Below are 21,526 nucleotides of genomic sequence, written 5' to 3' on the forward strand. Positions count from 1 at the left end.
TGGCAGCATGCGCCTGTAGTCCCAGCTACTCAGGAGGCTGAGACAGGAGAATTGCTTGAACCTGGGAGGCAGAGGTTGCAGTGAGCCAAGATCATGGCACTGCACTCCAGCCTGGGCAATAGAGCGAGACTCCATCTCTACAAAAAAAAAAAAAAAGGATAACTAAGTGTATGGTCAGATGGTCAGATTTACTCATCCCTATCAAACTGACGCAGGAGATTCCCATCATAGCAATCCCTTCAGCCATTCCACTGTTGTAGATTGTGTCATAGGGTTGTAATACAATACACAGATCCCATAAGAGACAGCATCTTACAATGTTTCTCTTCAGTAGGTGAAGAATTTTTAAATTGTAGGTGGAGGACACTGAAGATACTGTTCATTCAAACTCACATTTCTTGCTCCTTCACTTAAATGACACACAAATTATTGGGTATTCGCTCTGTGGTGGGCTTTGGGGGTATAAAAATAAATGAGGCAGGTCCTCTGCCCTCGAGTAAGTCATAGTTAACAGGAAATGCGCATCAAAACATAAAAGCAACCACATCTACTGTGATGATACAACACTGAAGGTGGGTGAAACCCACAGTCGAGAGCCTGACAGTCACAGTCGCAGGAGAAAATGCCAGTTGAACATACTCACCTCTTTAACTTTCTTCTTCTACTTTTCTTTTTTTTCTTTCTTTTTTTTTTTTTTTCTTGAGATGGAGTCTTGCTCTGTTGCCCAGGCGACCTTGGCTCACTGCAACCTCTGCCTCCCAGGTTCAAGCAATTCTCGTACCTCAGCCTCCCAAGTAGTCGGAATTATAGGCGCCCACCACCACACCTGCCTGGCTAATTTTGTATTTTTAGTAGAGATGGGGTTTTTCACCATGTTAGCCAGGCTGGTCTCAAACTCCTGACCTCAAGTGATCTGCCCGCCTTGGCCTCCCAAAGTGCTGGGATTACAGGCATGAGCCACCACACCCGGCTGCCTCTGCAAGTTTCAAGGGCCAGCTTAAATTTAGGTTTAAATTGTGTACCCACTACATGCCAGGTACAATATTTAGCTACTTTCACTTATATTATGTAGTTTAATTCTCTTCCAGTGGATGATTATTCATTGATATTAAGATTACAGAGGTTCAATATTAAGAGAAAATGAAGTAAACCTTGCAGGCAAGCAGGAACATACTGGAATGTGTGACCTTTTCCTCATCAGTTATGGGAGATTTTCCAAAAGTATGAATGTCTGAAAACCCAAACATCTACAGATAGGGTCCCCTCCTAGTGTTCCTTTCTTCCAGGTAATCCAAAACTTCTCAGAACATCAGCACTCGTAAAAATGACCAAACAGAGTTAACTCTGCAATATCATTCATACCACATTCAAGGGGAATTTCAGAGATTTTCTAAGTGTAACTGGGTTATGTGTAGTTTTCACTTAAGCCCGGACTCGAAGCTCAACTCCTACACGATTGTGTCTCTATTGCTTGTTGAAAGGGTGATATATGTTCAGAGGAAATTGTGTCTAAGTCCACATTAGGCCTGAAAGAGGGATGGTCATGGAAGACTTCATTGAGGTGGTGATTTTCCAGAATGCATGAATTAGGAGAGGAAATTCCAGGCAGAGTGGCCAAGACTAGCAAATGCTAGGAGGAGGTGACAGAGTATGGCTGGCTTTGGGTTGAAAGACTAGAAGAAAAGTAGTGGCAGAGGTGAAGTTACAACAGTAGGCAGGTGGCCATGCTCTGCTGGTTGATGTTATTGTGTTGCCTACCCGCTTGCTTTGAGATCTCCAGACCTGTGGTTTTCAACAGGGAGATGACTTGGCCCCCAGGGGACATTTGGCAATGTCTAGAGACATGTTGGTTGTCACAGTTAAGGAAGGGGTGCTACTGGCATCTAGTGAGTAGAGGCCAGGAAAGCTGCTAAATATCTTACAATGCCTGGGACTATCCCCGACAACAAAGAATTGTCCGGCCTGAAATGTCAATAGCGCTGAGGTTGAAAAAGCCTTTTCGTCTAGACCATGGCCACTTATTTTCATGCTGTTCTGGTGTCATGGAGGCAAATGCAAAGCAAGTTTAAACTTTGTGTGTTGGAATAAGGATGTCTCAGGACAAATATTTATTTGGAATCCCTGTTCCTTTTGAGCCAGGGAATAGGGTGGGGAGGCAGCAGAGAGAGCGACTTTAGGGAGAAATATTAACCTTGCAAATGTGCGCATTTTCAATTCACATCCTAGTGACAGGCTACAACTTGTAATCAGTATAAAATGATTTTCCGGGAGAGTAAATGCTTATTTTCACTGTCTTGATGTTGGCACTGGATTACTTGGTATTAATCCCAGGGTGACAGAGTCACATTTGGAAGCCGTGAGATTTATTTGGATGTCTCGCAGGGCCAGGGGCAGCCTTCATTTTACATCCTTGATCTTGGATAATTTAAATAATAGAGCTGCTTTTCTGTATACACTAGTGGTGTGAAAAGGAAGTTATCCACCTAGGACATATTCCAAGAGCCACAGAAAGCCAGGGAAGGAAGAAGAGAGGATAAGAATGTCTCCATATTTATTGTTATCTCCATGCTTAGCAGCAGCAACTATTATTACAACAAACAATGAACACTTATTAAACACCGACTGTGTGCCTTCTTCCCTGGCACAAGAGAGCAAGAAAGTCTTTGCTATTGTGAGCAGTGCTCCAATAAACATACATGTACATGTGTCTTTATAGTAGAATGATTTGTAATCCTTTGGGATTATAATGGACCCAGTAATGGGATTGCTGGGTCAAATGGTATTTCTGGTTCTAGATCCTTGAGGAATCGCCACACTGTCTTCAACAATCGTTGAACTAATTTACACTCCCACCAACAGTGTGAAAGCATTCCTATTTCTCCACATCCTCTCCAGCATCTGTTGTTTCTTGACTTTTTAATGATCGACATTCTAACTGGCATGAGATAGTATCTCATTGTGGTTTTGATTTGGCCAGCAAAATTTGTTAAGGGACCAGAGAGTAAATATTTTTAGCTTTGCTAGCCATACAGCTTCTTTGGCAACTACTCAGCTCTGATGCAATGTGAAGCAGCCATAGATAATATATAAACAAGGGAGTGGGACTGTGTTCCAATAAATCTTTATTTACAAAAACAGGCAGCTGGGCCAGATTTGTCCTGGAGGTTCTAATTCATCCGCTCCTGATCAACAGCATATACTACACTTTTGTTTTGTTTTGTTTTGTTTTGTTTTGTTTTGTTTTGGTTTGGTTTGAGACAGAGTCTTGCTCTGTCGCCCAGGCTGGAGTGCAGTGGCACGATCTCGGCTCACTGCAAGCTCCGCCTCCTGGGTTCACACCATTCTCCTGCCTCAGCCTCCCGAGTAGCTGGGACTACAGGCACCCGCCACCACATCCAGCTAATTTTTGTATTTTTAATAGAGACGGGGTTTCACCGTGTTAGCCAGGATGGTCTTGATCTCCTGACCTTGTGATACACCTGCCTCAGCCTCCCAAAGTGCTGGGATTACAGGTGTGAGCGACAGCACCAGGCCGTTTTTTTTGTTTGTTTGTTTGTTTTTTGTTTTTGTTTTTTTTTTTTTACAATCACAGCTCACTGCAGCCTCAAACTCTGGGGCTCAAACAATCCTTCCACTTCAGCCTCCTAAAGTGCTGGAATTACAGGCATGAGCCACCATGTCCAGCCCAGTGTACTATTTTAAAGACATTCCTTCTGAATATTTAAGCAATGATATTAAGAATGGCAAAATAGCCGAGCACAGTGGCTCTCGCCTGTAATCCCAACACTTTGGGAGGCTGAGGTGGGTGGATCACCTGAGATCAGGAGTTTGAGAACAGTGTGGCCAACATGGCGAAACCCTGTCTCTACTAAAAATACAAAAATTAGACAGACGTGGTGGTGTGCACCTGTGATCCCAGCTAGTGGGGATATTGAGGCACGAGAATTACTTGAACCTGGGAGGCAGAGGTTGCAGTGAGCCAAGATGGTGCCACTGCACTCCAGCGTGGGTGACAGAGAGACTTTGTCTTAAAAACAAAACAAACAAAAAAAGAATTAGTAATTTTACATCTCTGAATCTAGTCCTAAGAATATCTTTGGCTTTGCACATACAAATTTTTGCACAAATATGTTCACTGTGGTAATACTTAGAATAATAAAGACATGGAGGTAATTTTATTGGTCAATGATAGGGCATCAGAGAAATCTTGCTCTGTGATGGAGCAATGAAATATTGGGCAGTCTTAGAAAGTGATCATTCTAGGCCAGGTGCAGTGGCTAACACCTGTAATCCCAGCACCAAGGCAGGTGGATCATCTGAAGTTGGGAGTTCAAGACCAGCCTGACCAACATGGTGAAACCCCATCTCTACTAAATACAAAAAATTACCTGGGTGTGGTGGTGCATGCCTGTAATCCCAGCTACTTGGGAGGCTAAGGCAGGAGAATCACTTGAACCTGGGAGGCAGAGGTTGCAGTGAGCTGAGATTGTGCCACTGCACTCCAGCCTGGGCAACAGAGCGAGACTCTGTCTCAAAAACAAACAAAAAAAAATGAAAGTGTTCATTCTGAAGGGTTTTCATGGTGTACTTAAGATGTAATATTAAGTCAGGAAAAGTGAGATAGAAATTGTGCCAACAGTTTTGTAGCAATTAAGTATAAATCCACATTGCATGGAAAAAGAGTAGGAGGAAATATACCAAATTGTTAAGGATGGTGAGGCTATGGGGTGACTTTTCTTAAATTTAATTCCAACATGGATTCTTTTTAGCATTGTATTCATTCTTTTTTATTTTTTAAAAAAACTTCATCTATATTTCTTTGGGGTACCTATGCAGGTTTGTTACATGGGTAAATTGTGTGTCTTGGGTTTTGGTGTACAGATAATTTTGTCACCCAGGTAATCAGCATAATAATGCAAAAGTAGTTTTTCTTTTTTTTCTTGAGACAGAGTTTTGCTCTGTCAACCAGGCTGGAGCACAGCGGCATGATCTGGGCTCATTCAACCTCCACCTCCCGATTTCAAGCAATTCCCCTGCCTCAACCTCCCGAGTAGCTGGGATTACCGCATGCACCACCACGCCCAGATAGTTTTTGTATTTTTAGTAGAGAGGTTTCACCATGTTGCCCAGGCTAGTCTTAAACTCCTGGCCTCAAGTGATCCACCCACCTCTGCCTCCCCAGGTGCTGGGATTACAGGCAAGCCACCACACCTGGCCCAATAGGTAGTTTTTCAATCTTCACCCTCCTCCTATCCTCCACCCTCAAATATGCTTCGATGTCTATTGTCTCCTTCTTTGTGTCCATGTGTACTCAATGTTCAGCTCCCACTTATAAGTGAGAACATGCAGTATTTGGTTCCCTTGTTCCTGCATTAATCCGCTTAGTATAATGACCTTCAGCTCTACCCACCAACATAAAATTATTAAAAGAGGGCAAGTGTTGGCATCCAACAGATTTAGCTTTGCAGTTCTCTGGCTAAGCAGGTGACCAGTGCAAGGTGACTTAAGCTGTCTGAGCTTCAGCTCACTTCTTTGTAAAACACATGTAGCATCTGACTTTCCAGATTGATGGGAAGATTAAATGAAGTAATGCACATAAAACAGCCAGCAGAGTGTTTGTAACATAGTAGGTACCAAACACATTGTACCTGTTAATATCATTATTCTGTTTGTTCCAAGCAGTCTGTATCTTAGTTTCGGTGGTGATTACATAAATCTATGCAAGGGACAAAGTTGCATAGAACTACACACGCAAACACACACACACACACACACACACACAAATTGTAAAAACTAAGGTCTGTAGTCTAGTTAACAGTATTGTACCAATGTCGGTATCCCGGCTTTGATATTGTACTCCAGCTATTTAAGATTGACGTCTCCACGGGGAGAAACTGGGAGGTTACATAGGACTCTACTATTTTTACAGCTTCCTGTGAATCTATGATTATTTCAAATGAAAGAGTTTTTAAAGTACAGTAAAACTTTTTTAAAAATTCTAACGACTTCCATAATTTGCATCTCATCTATTCAGGTGAGGTAGGAAAAGTTAGGAATGGTTTGTTATTATTTATAAAAGGAAAAACTGACAGAGTGACTGGTTGCTCTTCTCCAGGTCAATCAGAAAATAAGAAGAAAAAGAAAAGCCATGTCACTGAATGTTCAGGACTTTTTAACGGTTGCTGATCCTGCCTCAAAAGTTGTCCTGTGTTTAATGGGATTTATATTCCCTCAATAAGGAATGTGACCTCTGAGGTTTAAGGATAGACCTGCTATCTCATTCTTTAGATGTATGTAAAAGGTGGTCAATGGACAAGGATGTCAGAACAGAACATAGAATCCCATGAACCGATGTCCCCAGTTGAGGTTTGGAATAAGGCAAAGCAGGAACAAGTGACTGTCTCAAAGAAAACAATAATTACTCAAGTGTTTACATGTGCTTATCAGTTTTATTATTTTTATGTGTACTATTAAAACTGAAAATAAGTTGTCTATAAATTAAGAAAACTGGCTTAAGGTTGCTACAGTTACAACTCTCCTTGCAAAAACTCAAGTCACTAACTCACCAAATATCTGCTAAATATCTGCCATGTGCAGTTACTGTTCTGGATGTTGGAGATGTGATAATGAACTAGACCCATCCAGTCCTGCTCTTCAGGAATGTGGTTTAGGTCAAAAGGCAATTGATTAGAGCCTGCCTTTTCCCACTTGCTTGCCATGTGCTTTTAACAGTTGCCTGGGCCTTAATCTCCTTTTCCTGGCCTTATTTATATAGCAATGACAAACACACATGTTCACTTACCAGCCCCACCTCTTGCATTCAAAGCAAACATCACTAATCAATCTGTCTCAAAAAAAAAAAAAAAAAAACTGTTCTTCAATTGCCTTTACCTATCTGATTCTCTCAAAGCTCCACTCATGAAATCCCACCTGTCCCCCAGAACTCACCAAAAAAAAAAAAAAAAAAAAAAAAAAAGATCCAAAGTCCCCTCCACATGCAGCCTCCACTGGCTCTGTTCCTCTTTGCCACTTCCCACTCACCTCCTTCTTGCCTTCCCATGTCTCTGCTCTTTCTTGGATTTAAACAACAAAGCCTAGAAGCTGCGCTAGTCAAGCCAAGTTCTCTTCAGCATGCGGGGAAGGTAGAGGAGCTTTAAAGTGGAGGAAAGTAGAATTCAGTCATGTGAAATCAAAGGTGAAATGATAAAAAGAATAAGGACAGAGCACAACCCACCAGATCAATGAAATAATGTCTGAGAAAGCACTTCAAAGAGTGTCCAGCACAATAAAAATAGATTGTCCTGGAGAAGCAGTTTCTGGAGTAAGAAAAATGTGACTTTTAGATGGATCTTGAAGAATTAATGGAACCTGGACCTATGGAATTAGAGACGATGAGTAAGCAAAGAAGAAGGAAGTTGAGATGGCAGTACCAGCAGGAGAAAGATTCTGTGCAGGAAAGGGTTGGGTGTGTTCAAGGAGCCTGCATCAGTCTCTAAACTGAGGTTTCCTACGTTTATTTCCTGTCTGGGACATTCTGTGACACATGTCCAAATGGAAAAATCATTCTCCATTGAGCTAGCCAAATATCTTCAATAAATAATGCAAAAATTATTAAGACATTTTCCAGAGGACCACACCATTTCCTGTCTTGACAATGGAGCTGGATTTGACATCAGCTAATTCAAGAGGTTAGAAATAAAAGCTGTGGCCAATTCAAACTTCCCTTCCAAATGTTTTTCAATAATCTGAAATTGGTCCAAGAGACAGGACTTGTAATCAACTTTTTTCAAACCATCTTAACATCTTTCATGAAGTCATGAACATGACCGTGCAGACGTGCCATTGACTAATTATTGTCCTGGATTGTGGGAATAGGAAGGAACATTGAAATAAACGATGACTTCACTGGTCAACCTATGGAATGTTAAAAGAAGAGGGAGCTAAAGGGAAGATGTTCCAATAGCATGCAACATGACCTTGGGGTAATGAGATAGACACACATTGGAAAGTTTTAAGCGTGTTTGTTTGTTTGTTTGTTTGTTTGAGATGGAGTCTCGCTCTGTTGCCCAGGCTGGAGTGCAGTGGCGCGATCTCGGCTCACTGCAGGCTCCTCTTCCCAGGTCCACCGCATTCTCCTGCCTCAGCCTCCCGAGTAGCTGGGAATACAGGCGCCTGCCACCACGCCTGGCTAATTTTTTGTATTTTTTTAGTACAGATGGGGTTTCACCATGTTAGCCAGGATAGTCTCTATCTCCTGACCTCGTGATCCACCCGCCTTGGCCTCCCAGAGTGCTGGGATTACAGGCGTGAGCCACTGTGCCCGGCCATTTTAAGGGTTTTAATGAGAATAATACAAAATATCCAGCTCACATGTACGTATCGTGGTTCTGATGCACCAGCTGCTATTCTAAGCTGTTGACATATACCATGTAGTTTATTCCTGACAATGACCCTGAAAGAGGCAGGCACTTATTCCCATTGTACAGATGAAGAAACTGAAGTGGAGGAAGTTAAGTAACTTGTCCAAGGTCACACCATCAAAAAATGAAACAGTCAGCATACAGGTACTATCTCTCCAAGGAACCTCCAGAGACACCAATCAAAAGAGAATGCATATTCTCCTTGCAATCCCATCAGTTAAAAAAGAGAGAGAGACCAGGTATGGGTGGCTCGTGCCTGTAATCCCAGTATTCTAGGAAGCCGAGGCAGGTGGATCACTTGAGCTCAGGAGTTCAAGACCAGCCTGGGCAACATGGCAAAACCCCATCTCTACAAAAAATACAAAAATCAGCCAGGTATAGTGGCTCATGCCTGTAGTCCCAGCTACTCGGGAAGCTGAGGTGAGCGGATCACTTGAGCCTAGGAAGTTGAAGGCTACAGTGAGCCAAGATGGCGCCACTGCACTCCATCCAGTCTGAGTGACACAGCAATACCCTGAAAAAAAAAAAAAAAACAGAGAGAGAATGCTGAGAAAATCCTGCCCCAAATCTCTAAAAATTACCAAGGCAAACATGTAGAAAGCTGAAACTGGATCCCTTCCTTACACCTTATACAAAAATTAATTCAAGATGGATTAAAGACTTAAATGTTAGACCTAAAACCATAAAAACCCTAGAAGAAAACCTAGGCAATACCATTTAGGACATAGGCACGGGCAAGGACTTCATGTCTAAAACACCAAAAGCAATGGCAACAAAAGCCAAAATTGACAAATGGGATCTAATTAAACTAAAGAGCTTCTGCACAGCAAAAGAAACTATCATCAGAGTGAACAGGCAACCTACAGAATGGGAGAAAATTTCTGCAATCTACCCATCTGACAGAGGGCTAATATCCAGAATCTACAAAGAACTTAAACAAATTTACAAGAAAAAATCAAACAACCCCATCAACAAGTGGGCGAAGGATATGAACAGACACTTCTCAAAAGAAGACATTTATGCAGCCAACAGACACATGAAAAAATGCTCATCATCACTGGCCATCAGAGAAATGCAAATCAAAACCACAATGAGATACCATCTCACACCAGTTAGAATGGTGATCATTAAAATGTCAAGAAACAACAGGTGCTGGAGAGGATGTGGAGAAATAGGAACACTTTTACACTGTTGGTGGGACTGTAAACTAGTTCAACCATTGTGGAAGACAGTGTGGCAATTCCTCAAGGATCTAGAACTAGAAATACCATTTGACCCAGCCATCCCATTACTGGGTATATACCCAAAGGATTATAAATCATGCTGCTATAAAGACATATGCACATGTATGTTTATTGCGGCACTATTCACAATAGCAAAGACTTGGAACCAATCCAAATGTCTACCAATGATAGACTGGATTAAGAAAATTTGGCACATATACACCATGGAATACTACGTAGCCATAAAAAAGGATGAGTTCATGTCCTTTGTAGGGACATGGATGAAGCTGGAAACCATCATTCTGAGCAAACTATCGCAAGGACAGAAAACCAAACACCGCATGTTCTCTCTCGCTCATAGGTGGGAATTGCACAATGAGAACACTTAGACACAGGATGGGGAACATCACACAGAGGGGCCTGTCATGGAGTGGGGGGAGGGGGAAGGGATAGCATTAGGAGATATACCTTATGAAAATGATGAGTTAATGGGTGCAGCACACCAACATGACACATATATACATATGTAACAAACCTGCACGTTGTGCACATGTACCCTAGAACTTAAAGTATAATAAAAAAATGAAGAAAAAAAATTACAAAGGCAATAATGCAACCACCTCAGCACATCCAGGAAGACTGGATGACTTGCCCAAGATTAAGTGAAGTCAAAACCAGTACTTGAACAAGGATTTTCTCACTCCCAGGTATCAAGCAATCCCCTGAGCATTCATTTCTCATCTGGACATGAGAAATGTGCACTGGACATCCAAATACCTGCTTACCAAATCATCGATTATCTGCCAAAGCTCTTCAGCAAGTAATAGCGTTGTAAAAAGTATTTTATAATTAGGAGTATCTGAAGTCAGACCAACTGATTTGAATCAGCATTACCATTTATTAACAGTTCTATCAGGCCAGGCACGGTGGCTCATGCCTGTACTCCCATCATCTTGGGAGGCTGAAGTGGGCAGATTGCTTGAGCCCAGGAGTTCCAGACCAGCTTGGGCAAAATAGCAAGACACCATCTCTACAAAAATTGTTTAAAACATTAGCCAGTGTGATGGTGCATGCCTGTAGTCCCAGCTACTCAGGAGGCTGAGGTGGGAGGATCGCTTGAGCCTGGAAAGTCAAGGCTGCAGTGAGCCATAATTGCACCACTGCACTCCAGCCTGGGTCACAAAGTGAGACCCTGTCTCAAAAACACACAAAAAAGTTTTATCTGTGGATAATTTAGATCCTGCTCAAATTATCAGTTTTTTTCACCAGTAAAATGGGAATAATCATCATAGCTATTTCATGGGATTCCGGAAGATTAAATATTATGCATGCAATGCATACACTGAGCACCATCCCTTACACATAGTAAGTGCTCAATAAATATTCAATAATAATAATAAGGAAATCATAGCCACAACATGTGTTATGCTGTGTTCATTACAATAAGACTGTGAAACCTATTTTGATGAAGCAGGCCATTATAGCTTGAGTAAGAAATAAAATAGGCAAACACCAGAACTTTAACCTAACACCATGACCACTCCCAAAGTTTAGCATATTACTGGAAATCGCTAACGGAGCACTGCCCATTATTCATGATATGAACAGTAAGGAATCATGCATAATGGAACAGAGTCCCTGCTAACAGCAGATTCACACACGATAATTTAAACTTGTTTGTATGGAAATAAAGGACGAGTCTTTGAAGTGAGCCTTAATGAGATTCTGCTTGATCTTTGGTGTATCCTGGGAGAAAGAGTTCAATTTTTCCTCCAGCATCTGACTCATGTTGGTGGCGTGCAGGAAAGAAAGGGCTGACTTAAATTATGAATGGCCTTTCTTGTCTTTGTGATAGCAGGTGAGGAGGGTGGCACTCATCCGGGGGCACTGGGGAGATGCAGGGAGACAATCACAGTTCTCCGAGGTGGCCTCTGCATCTGAAACTTAGAGGAAGGCTTGGTGGGCTGGAGCCTCGGAAGGCATTCGTCATCCAGAAGGATGCTTTACAGACTCTGAAGAAGCAAAATAAGCTGGTGGGCTCTGGCAGGAGACGCAGAGGTACTAGTGTGGCCCCGCACCTTTTCAAATTCTGCTTGTGCATGAAAGGGATTCAGCTCCATCCCAAGCTCATGCTGGAGGAGACCTGGCAAGCAGTCGCCTTGCCAGTCGCTGCTGACCTGGCTGCTGACCAACTCTGAAGAGGGCTCGGTGTTTGCTCAACGTGGCCTGGCTGTCAGAAGGTCCCAGGAAGTGGGTTGTGTTTTGGTTGCCAAATGCAAGAGAGTATGAGTTTTGAGTTTTTGAAATCAGTTCAAGTCATGGGACAGGTCTACCTCATTAAGTGGCCATTAGATTTATGATGAAAAGATGACGACTGTGGAGTGCTGTGTACAGGCTGGCCACTCACTGTAGAGTGCAGAGTATAGACTGGCCACTCACTGTAGAGTCCTGACCACAGGCTGGCCACTCACTGTGGAGTGCTGAGCACAGTTTGGCCACATACTGTAGAGTGCTGAGCACAGGCTGGCCACTCACTGCGGAGTGCTGAGCACAGGCTGGCTACTCACTGTAGAGTACTGAGCACAGCCTGGCTGCACACTGTAGGATGCTGAGCACAGCCTGGCTGCACACTGTAGGGTGCTGAATACAGGCTAGCCACACGTTGTAGAGCCCTCAGTGCCTGCTAGATGTCATTTTATTTTTCTTTTTACCTTTATCACTTTGAGGGCTTTTTCAAGTCTATGGTCTTTCAGGCTCAATTAATTGTAACTAAGCCTCTGAGACAAAGTGCTTGTTGAATGTCTTCCACTGTTCCGACACAGAAACGCAGCATAAGTCGAAGTTGCAATGGACAGCATACGTCGAAACTTCCTCTGTGCCAGACTCCTTGTGGGGACTCTCTTCTCATCGCCTCCTTTAGTCCTCACCACTGCCCTATGAGGAAGAATGTGCTTTTTAACTTCATTTTACAGATGAGAAAACTGAGGCCCATAAGGCGAAGTTACTCTCTCAAGCCAGTAAGCAGTAGGAATTGGGATTTGCACTCAGCACCCATTTGATCCCGGAGTCCGCTTTCTTGATTGTACTCTCTACTGCCTCACCTTCAATGGCTTCCTCTAATGGAAAAGCCTGCCCTCACCCTAATGAATACTCTCAGCTGGGCACAGTTAAGGGATGACCTCTGTGCATCTAATGAGTTCATCTCAATCCCTCCCCAGGGTACAGATGTGTTGTGTAACTTGGGCATCGGGAAGTCCAGGACGGAGCAAAACAGAGGAGGGTGCTCTCCCAGACCTGTATCATCCACCTCCGTTATCTCCCCTCACACAGACTCAAGAATTCAGATCCCACCTATGTTGCCTTGGTATTCTAACAAACATCTCTCATGTTTAAGCTAACATGTCCTAAGCATTATGTTAAGAGGGTTTCATGCATTCAATCATGTAGAACTTTTATTCCCATTTGACCAATGAGGCTCCTGAGGCTCCTGCAAGTTAAGTAACCAGCCCGAGAACACACAGCAGCTGCCTGGTGTGTCAGGACATTCCTGCATCGTTGGTGTGATCGATGCATGCTTACCTCTGTGTGCCTGAGGCGGTGCTCTGTTTGGGGACACTGCAGTGACTGAGACAGATCAGGTGACTGCCCTCAGGGACCTACACTCTGGAGGGGAGACACAGGCTAGGAACAAATATACAAATTAGACAACACAGTCATGTGTCCAGTAGTGACATTTCAATCAACAATAGGCTGCACATAGGACAGTGGTCCCATAAGATTGTAATTCTATATTTTTACTGTACCTTTTCTATGTTTTTAATTATACTTTCTTTTTTATTATTTTGTTTTTTATTTCAATAGGTTTTGGGGGAACAGGTGGTGTTTGGTTACATGGGTAAGTTCTTTAGTGGTGATTTCTGAGATTTTGGTGTACCCATCACCTGAGCAGTGTACACTATACACAATGTGTGGTTCCTTACCCCTCACTCCTTCCAACCCCTCCCCCCCGAGTCCCCAAAGTCCATTATGTTGTTCTTATGCTGTTGTGTCCTCATAGCTTAGCTCCCACTTATAAGTGAGAACATACGATGTGTGGTTTTCCATTCCTGAGTTACTTCACTTAGAATAATGGTCTCCAATTCACAGGTTTCTGTGAATGCCATCATTTCATTCCTTTTTATGGCTGAGTAGTATTCCATGGTATATATACAACACATTTTCTTTTTTTTTTTTTTTTTTTTTTTCTTCAGACAGAGTCTTGCTCTGTTGCCGAGGCTGGAGTGCAGTGGTGTGATCTTGGCTCACTGCAAGTTCCGCCTCCCGGGTTCACGCCATTCTCCTGCCTCAGCCTCCCAAGTAGCTGGGACTACAGGCACCCGCCACCATGCCTGGCTAATTTTTTGTATTTTTTAGTACAGATGGGGTTTCATCGTGTTAACCAGGATGGTCTCGATCTCCTGACCTCGTGATCTGCCCGCCTTGGCCTCTCAAAGTGCCGGGATTACAGGCGTGAGCCACCGTGCCCAGCCATATACCACATTTTCTTTATCCACTTGGTTGATGGACATTTGGGCTGGTCTATATTTTTGCAATTGCGAATTGTGCTGCTATAAACATGAGTGTGCAAGTGTCTTTTTCATATAATGACTTCTTTTCCCCTGTAGTGGGAGTGCTGGATCAAATGGTAGATCTACTTTTAGTTCCTTAATGAATCTCTACACTGTTTTCCATAATGGTTGTACTAGTTTACATTCCCACTGGCAGCATAAGTCTTTTCTATGTTTAGATGTATCTAGATACACAAATACTCACCATGGGTGTTGCAGTTGTGTATGGTACTCAGTACAGGCCCATGTTGTACATACTTGTAGCCTAGGAGCCACAGGATATACCATGCAGCCTAGGTGTGTAGGAGGCTATGCCATCTAGGTTTGTGTAGTATGCTCCCTGATGTTCTCAAAATAATGAAATCACCTAAGGATGCATTTCTCAAAATGTATCCCCATGGTTTAGAGATCATTTCTATGAAAAAAAGCAGCAGAAAGAGGCAAAAGAAGGCACTGAGGGGAAGGATGTGTTAGTTTCAATGGGGTAACCAAAGAGATCAGCCTGAGAAAGTGACATTCGATGCCTGACCTGAATGAGTGGAGGGAGGTGGAGGAAACACATGCCAGGCAGTGGGATGCTTGTGTGCAGAGTCCCCGGGGCACAAACAAGTTGGGGAAACATCAGGAAGGTGCTTCTGCCCCAAGTGGGGTGGAGGAAGTGAGTGAGTCAGAAAGGAGGGTTGCACTCAGCCACATCAAACCGAACTTTGATTCTGCAGCCTGTTCTCCTACCCACCACACTGTTCAGCTCCCAGGGCTGCCTCAAAAACATCAACTCCCAAATTTCAGCTTTTATTTCAGATACACGGGGTACATGTGTAGGATTGTTACCTGGGTATATTGGACCAAGGTAGTGGACGCAGTACCCAACAGGTAGTTTGTCAACCCACGCTCCCTTCCCTCCCGCTCTCCAGTAGTTCCCAGTGTCTGTCATTCCCATGTTACCACCGTACATGCTCAGTGTTTAGCTCCTAGTTATGAGAACATGTAGGATTTGGTTTTCCATTCCTTCATTAATTCGCTTAGGATGATGGCCTCCAGTTCCATCCATGTTGCTGCAATGGACAAGATTTCATTCCTTTTTATGGCTGCATAGTATTCCATGGTGTAAAATAAAAGCTGAAATTTAAAAACAACTACCTCAAATCACTTTTAGATTGAGGCTCCATAAATAAATGAAATTAACCCAGATTACAACAAAAAATCAACTCCTGATGTCCACTTTACCTGAAGTTTCTCTCTTCTGCGGGTTCCCCAAGTCTCTTTCTTTTTAGATTATTACCAAATGTAGATACCCTGGAATCCATTCTCTTTTTAAATAATTTGAATTAAACTAAGATAAATGTCCACCAAGAAGTGAGGAGTAGAGAACTCTGTGTGCAGCATCCACATCTGGTCTGTGTCCTCCTTCATGTTCACGGATGGCTCTGCTGATGGAGGCCACCCTGAGTGTGTGTGCGGTACACATGCCATGAGAAAGGGGTGCCAATGTGGCTGCTCACACACAGAAACGCTTCCATCTCTGAGAGCTGTCGAATGAGAGAATGTGCTGGTGCTTTTATACTGAAGCATATCAATAGTGGATTTGTCAAACTAGCCCCGTATTCAGGTGCGAGTCTTCAGTATTTCCAGCTGAAGGTCTGCGGCTCGTAGGCTCTGGGCATCTTCCCCTCTTCTGGCACAGTTTGGCTTCTTCCTTCTGCTGAATGGATGCATTCTTTACACTTTTGATTACTAACCACAGCCGTGAGCCAAAACGTTATAATTAAATAAAATAAACAGATCCTGGGATGAGTCTTTGAGGAAAAAGCAGTCTTTTAATAATCAAAATCTTCATGCATTTTATTTCATCATTATGCTAAGATGTTGAGAGAAATGGATTTCTAGAATATGACCTGGCCCTGACTTTGTGTCTAGTCAATTACAAGTTCGAGCTAACCACCTCAACATTTCAAGGATGGCCTTTTCTTTTTCTTTTTTTAAAACAGCAGGACTAAAATTTCATTGTATTGAACATAAATGGGAAAACGTGCATTGCAGAGTAAAATTTAAAATGCTTTTATGGAATTTTCATTATAAAACTGCCTGTAATGGAGTTGACCTTATATTCACCTAAGATTTCTCTGGCTCCGAGTTCAGATTTCATGCCAATTAACATGTTAATGACATATATCATTTAAAAAGCCCATCATAACTTTTATCACATCATGTTACATCTATTTCCTTGTAATTAAATCAGAATTACAGGGTGTAATTACTTTTCTTTTCCTGAATACCCATTCCTTTTCAGACATTTAAATTCAAGTGCAAGTACTAAAAGACACTTGAAAGTAACAACCTAATAAAAATATTATCAGTTAATGAAAGCGTTGGGTTTCTCCTACTCTCTGGTTTCTTTTTGACAAATTCCTATCTCCCCATGTACTTTGCATGACATGTAATGATTGGTCGTATCCAGTCAAATGCTTCCTAAGCTCTTTAAATCCTCAGGGCCCTAGTCTCTATTAATATGCAACGTTCTCACACATAAATATAATTACATACAATTATTAGCGGAAAAGGATCAGATAAGGTTTATTAACGAAATATCCTATAATCATCCAAGTCCAAGACTTCCCCTTACATGCTAATTCAATGAAGGGTTAGAGTCTGTAATCACTACACCTGCATTGATCACTGATGGCAGGATCAAAGAAGGGGAACACCTTTGTTTAAAAGACTTAAACAATTATTTTGTAGACAATTCTATTATCTGACTGCTTCTGTTCTTCCACGCACTCTTCGACATCCAATTTAAAACTTAAAGTTGGCCGGGCATGGCAGTTCATCCCTGTAATCTAGCATTTTGGGAGGCCGATGTGGGTGGATCACCTGAGGCCAGAAGTTCGAAACCAGCCTGGCCACCAGGGCGAAAACCTGTCTCTACAAAAATACAAAAATTAGCCAGCTGTGGTTGCGCGTACCTATAGTCTCAGCTACTCAGGAGGCTGGGGCAGGAGAATCACTTGAACCCAGGAGGTGGAGGTTGCAGTGAGCTGAGATTGCACCATGGCACTCCAGCCTGGGCAGCAGAGCAAGACTCTGTCTCAAAAAAAAAAACAAAGTTGCATCATACTTAATTTTGGAAACTTGTTGTAACTTGAAGTAGTATCTAAGAACTGGGAAGTAATCTTACAGGCGTGTGCTGTCCTATGATGATCTATTAGGATTGTGTGGGCAGAACCACCGGGGACTGACATATATTATTTGAGGAAGTCAGCACTTGAAGGTAGGTAGAAAACGAACTCCTTTGCTGTCAGGAAGTTCTGCATACATAGATCAAATCACTCATTCATTTGGCAAATATTTATTGAGTGCTTATAACAGCTAGGTACTTTTTTAGTCCTAGGTACTATTTTAGTCCTGGTCAAGGTCATTGTTGCCAAGGTGCCAACATTCTAGGGAAAGAGAACAGACCATAAACTAGTAAACAGAAGAATAAATAAGATAATTGCAGCTAGTGATGAGAGACAAGAGGAAAAGATAGCAGAACAAGGTGATAAAAAGAAATAGTGGCCAGGTATGGTGGCTTATGCCAGTAATGCCAGCATTTCAGGAGGCCAAGGTGGGTGGATTGCTTGAGCTCAGGAATTCAAGACCAGCCTGGGCAACATGGCGAGACCCTGTCTGTATCAAAGATACAGAAAATTAGCCAGGCGTCATGGTGTGTGCCTGTGGTCCCAGCTACTCTGGAGGCTGAGGTGGGAGGATCACTTGAGCCCAGGGGGCAGAGGTTGCAATGAGCCTATATTGCACCACTGCACTCCAGCCTGGGTGACAGAGCAAGACCCTGTCTCAAAAAAATAAATACTTTTTTTTAAAAAAAAGAAAATAAATAGTGGTGAGGTGGATGATTCTAGACAGGGTAGATGATGAAGGCATCTCTGAGGTATCTAACTTTTGAGCTGAGACCTAAGTAGTGTGAAAGAGCAAGAGAGGATCAGGGGGCACAGAACCACCAACTATCAAGGTTATAAGAGGGAGAGAGCTGATGTTTTGGAAGAAAAAGAGCAGGTGGATGTGTCTAGATCAAAGGGAGCAGGATCACAAAGATGGCGGTAAAAAGATGGCACCATCTATGTAGACTCTCCGGGCTGCCAAAAGCTTACAGATTTTGCTCTAAGAATGACAGAAAGCAGCTAGAAGGTTTTAAGCCAGGAGGTGACATTATTCAAATTACATTTTGAAAAGGATATTCTGGGTGTAGAGGCTGGATTTGGAGAGGCAGGGGTAGAACATCAGACATTTAGGAGGCTGTTGGTGCCATCTGGGTGAGCAAAGGAACCAGCTTAACCTCAGCTTGACCTACCTGTGCCAGGACACAGGTAGAGTCCCTGGTATGGCAGGTGGACAAGCAAGGGCCACTAAACAGGCATGTGGCAGCTTGCAGGAACCCCCAATTCCTCCTGACCATTTCTTGAACAAATATATCATATCTACCATGTGCCAGGCATTGTTTTAAGCTTTGAGAATGTAGAAGTGAGCAAAGCAGGCAACATCTTCTTCTTATGGGTCCCAAATAATGACAGAAGAGCAAGTCAGGCGATGAAAGGTGTATTGGCAAAAACTAAAACATGGCGTGGGGATTGGGAAGAACAGGGAAGGAGGGAGAGACAGGTACTTTAGATTCCAGGCTCAGGGAAGGCCACATGGAAGGCATGATATCTGCATAGTCCTGAATGAGGTGACATCAAAATGCAACCCAAATGTCAACTGGTCCCACGTCTTCCTAATCCCTACATTTTGCCTCTGTTTTCCTTTGATGCCAACCCCAAACTCAGCCCCACTTCAGGGTCTCTCACTAAAGCACCAATGAGCAATGGGGATGTCAGAAAATGTTCACCAGGGAAACACAGCAGTGGGGGTAACATCATGTGTACAGTGACCCCTGACGAAGCCTCTCCCACATTTCTCTAGAAAAATCCTAAAGATTTCTTTTCTCTTCCCCGCTGCATGTGACCTCCAGCTTTCTTCTTGAATTCCTTTCTTCTTGATTTCTCTTGTTTCCACAATATCTAGTCCTGCTTTCTGCTGCAATGCAGAGCAATTCAGCTTGGCCCCCAATCCACCCACCAAGCCCTCCAGCATACTCAGCAAAACAATGCTCTTCTGTGAAAAGGTGACACAGTGGTCATTTTTGCCCCTTAGAGTTTCACCTCCTCATTCCTATCACAAGTGGCTCAATATGGTATTTCTCCTTAAAACACTCAGTGCCCTCACTAAGAGAAATTCTTTTGAATGCAATTATCACCTTGCAAATGGGTTATGGACAGGCATGTGCCTAGAAGTTCCCCACTTATTGAGCCCAGAGATTCATTTCCATGGAATCTCGTGGAAATGAAGAGGATCAGAAGCCACCTAAGTTTGCACAGCTTCTTCCTGTCCATGGTTACCTATGTTTACTCTCTCTCCACATATAAAGTCAGGCTGAGATGAGAAAGTAAGGGAATTCTTGCCATACATCTATGGACTTTGGTTTAAGGCAGGGGTTGGCAAACTACAACCAGTGAAAAGGTCTTATTAGAACACAACCATGGCCTTCACATGCAGGTTGCCCATTTCTGCTTTTTCACTATGGTGCAGAACAAACTCATTATACAGCACAAAAGCAGTGCCATGTGATACACATGGGTGTGACTGCATTCCAATACCACTTTACTTCTGGACACTGAAATCTGGCTTTCATGTAATTCTCACATATCATGAAATACTATTCTTTAATTTTTTCCAACCATTTAAAAATGTAAAAACAATTCTTAGCTTGCAGACTTTACAAAAACAGGCCACAGGATGCATTTGGCCTGTGGGTCACAGTTTGCCACCCTGATTTAAGGGGTTGTTAACAAACATGAGACCCTCTGAGTTACTGAATCAATCTCAGCATCACGAGGTCTCAGCATTCTGGGGAGAAAGCAGAGCTGGTGTCCGGCTGTGTCTGGACTCCCCCTGAATCCGCCAGGTGGCCAGTCTCCAGAATGCCTGTCCTTCCACAGAAATGCTATCCCTTTCCGTTCTCCAAGTTTGGAGTCTGAGCCCTTTGAGGAAGGGTCCTCCTTCTTCATCCTGATGTCCCCAGCGTTCGACACAGAGTCCAGTACCAAGCAGGTACTCAAACCACATTAGTGGAGAAAAGCAACCCAGGAACATATGAAAGACACAGCATCTTTTGTGTGGTTCTCAAGCCAGTCTCTAATATCGTTAATGCATTTGATAAGATAAAATCATTACTTACTAGCAAAATGAATAATTAGCCATTTCTCAAAACCTAGTAGGATAGGCAAGAAGGAGGAAGACAGGGAGCTATGTGTACATAAGAGTGATATGTCTAAGTGACTTCTTGAAATACAGAGCCCATTGTCCCCACTCTGCAGTGGAAATCCATCGATTTCCAAATGAGTTGAGGCCATTTCCTGACAGTTGGGAGGAAAGGGGCCAAACCGTTGGGCTCCTATTCGTCTTCAGCATTTTACAATTAAGAGCTGGCCTTGTTTAAAGCCCAACCTGTCATTACTGTTAATATTGAGATCGGACACTTTGATCCGAATGGAACCTGACTGCCTGATACAACCCAAAGTTAAGCTGCTTCCAAACGTATCTTTCACTCTGTATATCATCCTAGCTGGCTGATGTCTGTTTCAACTGAGCAGTGGGGTGATCTCACGATGGTGCAATGGAGAACTGATGTTGCATGAACTTTTCTGCTGTTGTTTCTTTTCCAACTGACAGCTTAGCCCTGCACCCTAGGCCAGCCTATTCTTCTCGTAGAGACGGTCACTGATTCCCTCTCTTCTGATTAGCCTGGGCAATGATTGGGATAATTTAGGACGTGCACTGTTTGATCATCTGTACACTTACAACAAATAAAACATTTTAATATGAGCAGTCACTGCATGTTTACTGTATCATATTGCTGAGAGCTGAACAAATGCCAAACGCTATAACAGAAGGGGGGATGTGAACTCCAGAATGATGACACTAATAAGGAAATTACAAAAGGCCCAACAAATGGCATTTATGTTAAATCAATAATGCTCTGTTTGTTTTTTTTAATTCTAATCTTTCTTCAGAAAAAAAAAATTATCTTTCTAAACAGTTGGCGATTCCTATTCTTGTTCGTCTTCCTGAACATAATTAAAAACATGTTGTGGCGCCTACTTAAGACATCAACTTTCCCAAGGCTGTCTTGTCCACTGTGTTTTAAACAAAGACACTTGTTTTGGCATTGTGCCCTTAATTA

General features: G+C 42.8%; 1 protein-coding gene and 1 long non-coding RNA gene across 11 annotated transcripts in view, besides 1 other annotated feature; one reads left to right on the top strand and one right to left on the bottom strand.

The window, feature by feature from the left end:
- Positions 1 to 21,526, top strand: part of TSHZ2 (teashirt zinc finger homeobox 2) — a 522,973-nt gene that overhangs the window by 415,553 nt on the left and 85,894 nt on the right. The gene's annotated exons all lie outside the window — the stretch shown is intronic.
- LOC105372670 (uncharacterized) lies at positions 9,758 to 13,409 on the bottom strand. The gene is made up of 2 exons (XR_007067659.1): positions 13,223 to 13,409; positions 9,758 to 12,577 (listed from the first exon to the last, which is right to left on the bottom strand). It is a non-coding gene; the product is annotated as an uncharacterized LOC105372670 (long non-coding RNA).
- Positions 20,041 to 20,335: a silencer, noted in NCBI's record as "tiled region #11508; HepG2 Repressive DNase matched - State 13:Ctcf, and K562 Repressive non-DNase unmatched - State 13:Ctcf". NCBI's record gives its function as "represses a minimal TATA promoter and a strong SV40 promoter by Sharpr-MPRA in HepG2 and K562 cells {active_cell/tissue: HepG2 | K562}" and the evidence as "EXISTENCE:reporter gene assay evidence [ECO:0000049][PMID:27701403]".

Source organism: Homo sapiens, chromosome 20, assembly GCF_000001405.40.
Source record: "Homo sapiens chromosome 20, GRCh38.p14 Primary Assembly".
Lineage (NCBI taxonomy): Eukaryota > Metazoa > Chordata > Mammalia > Primates > Hominidae > Homo > Homo sapiens.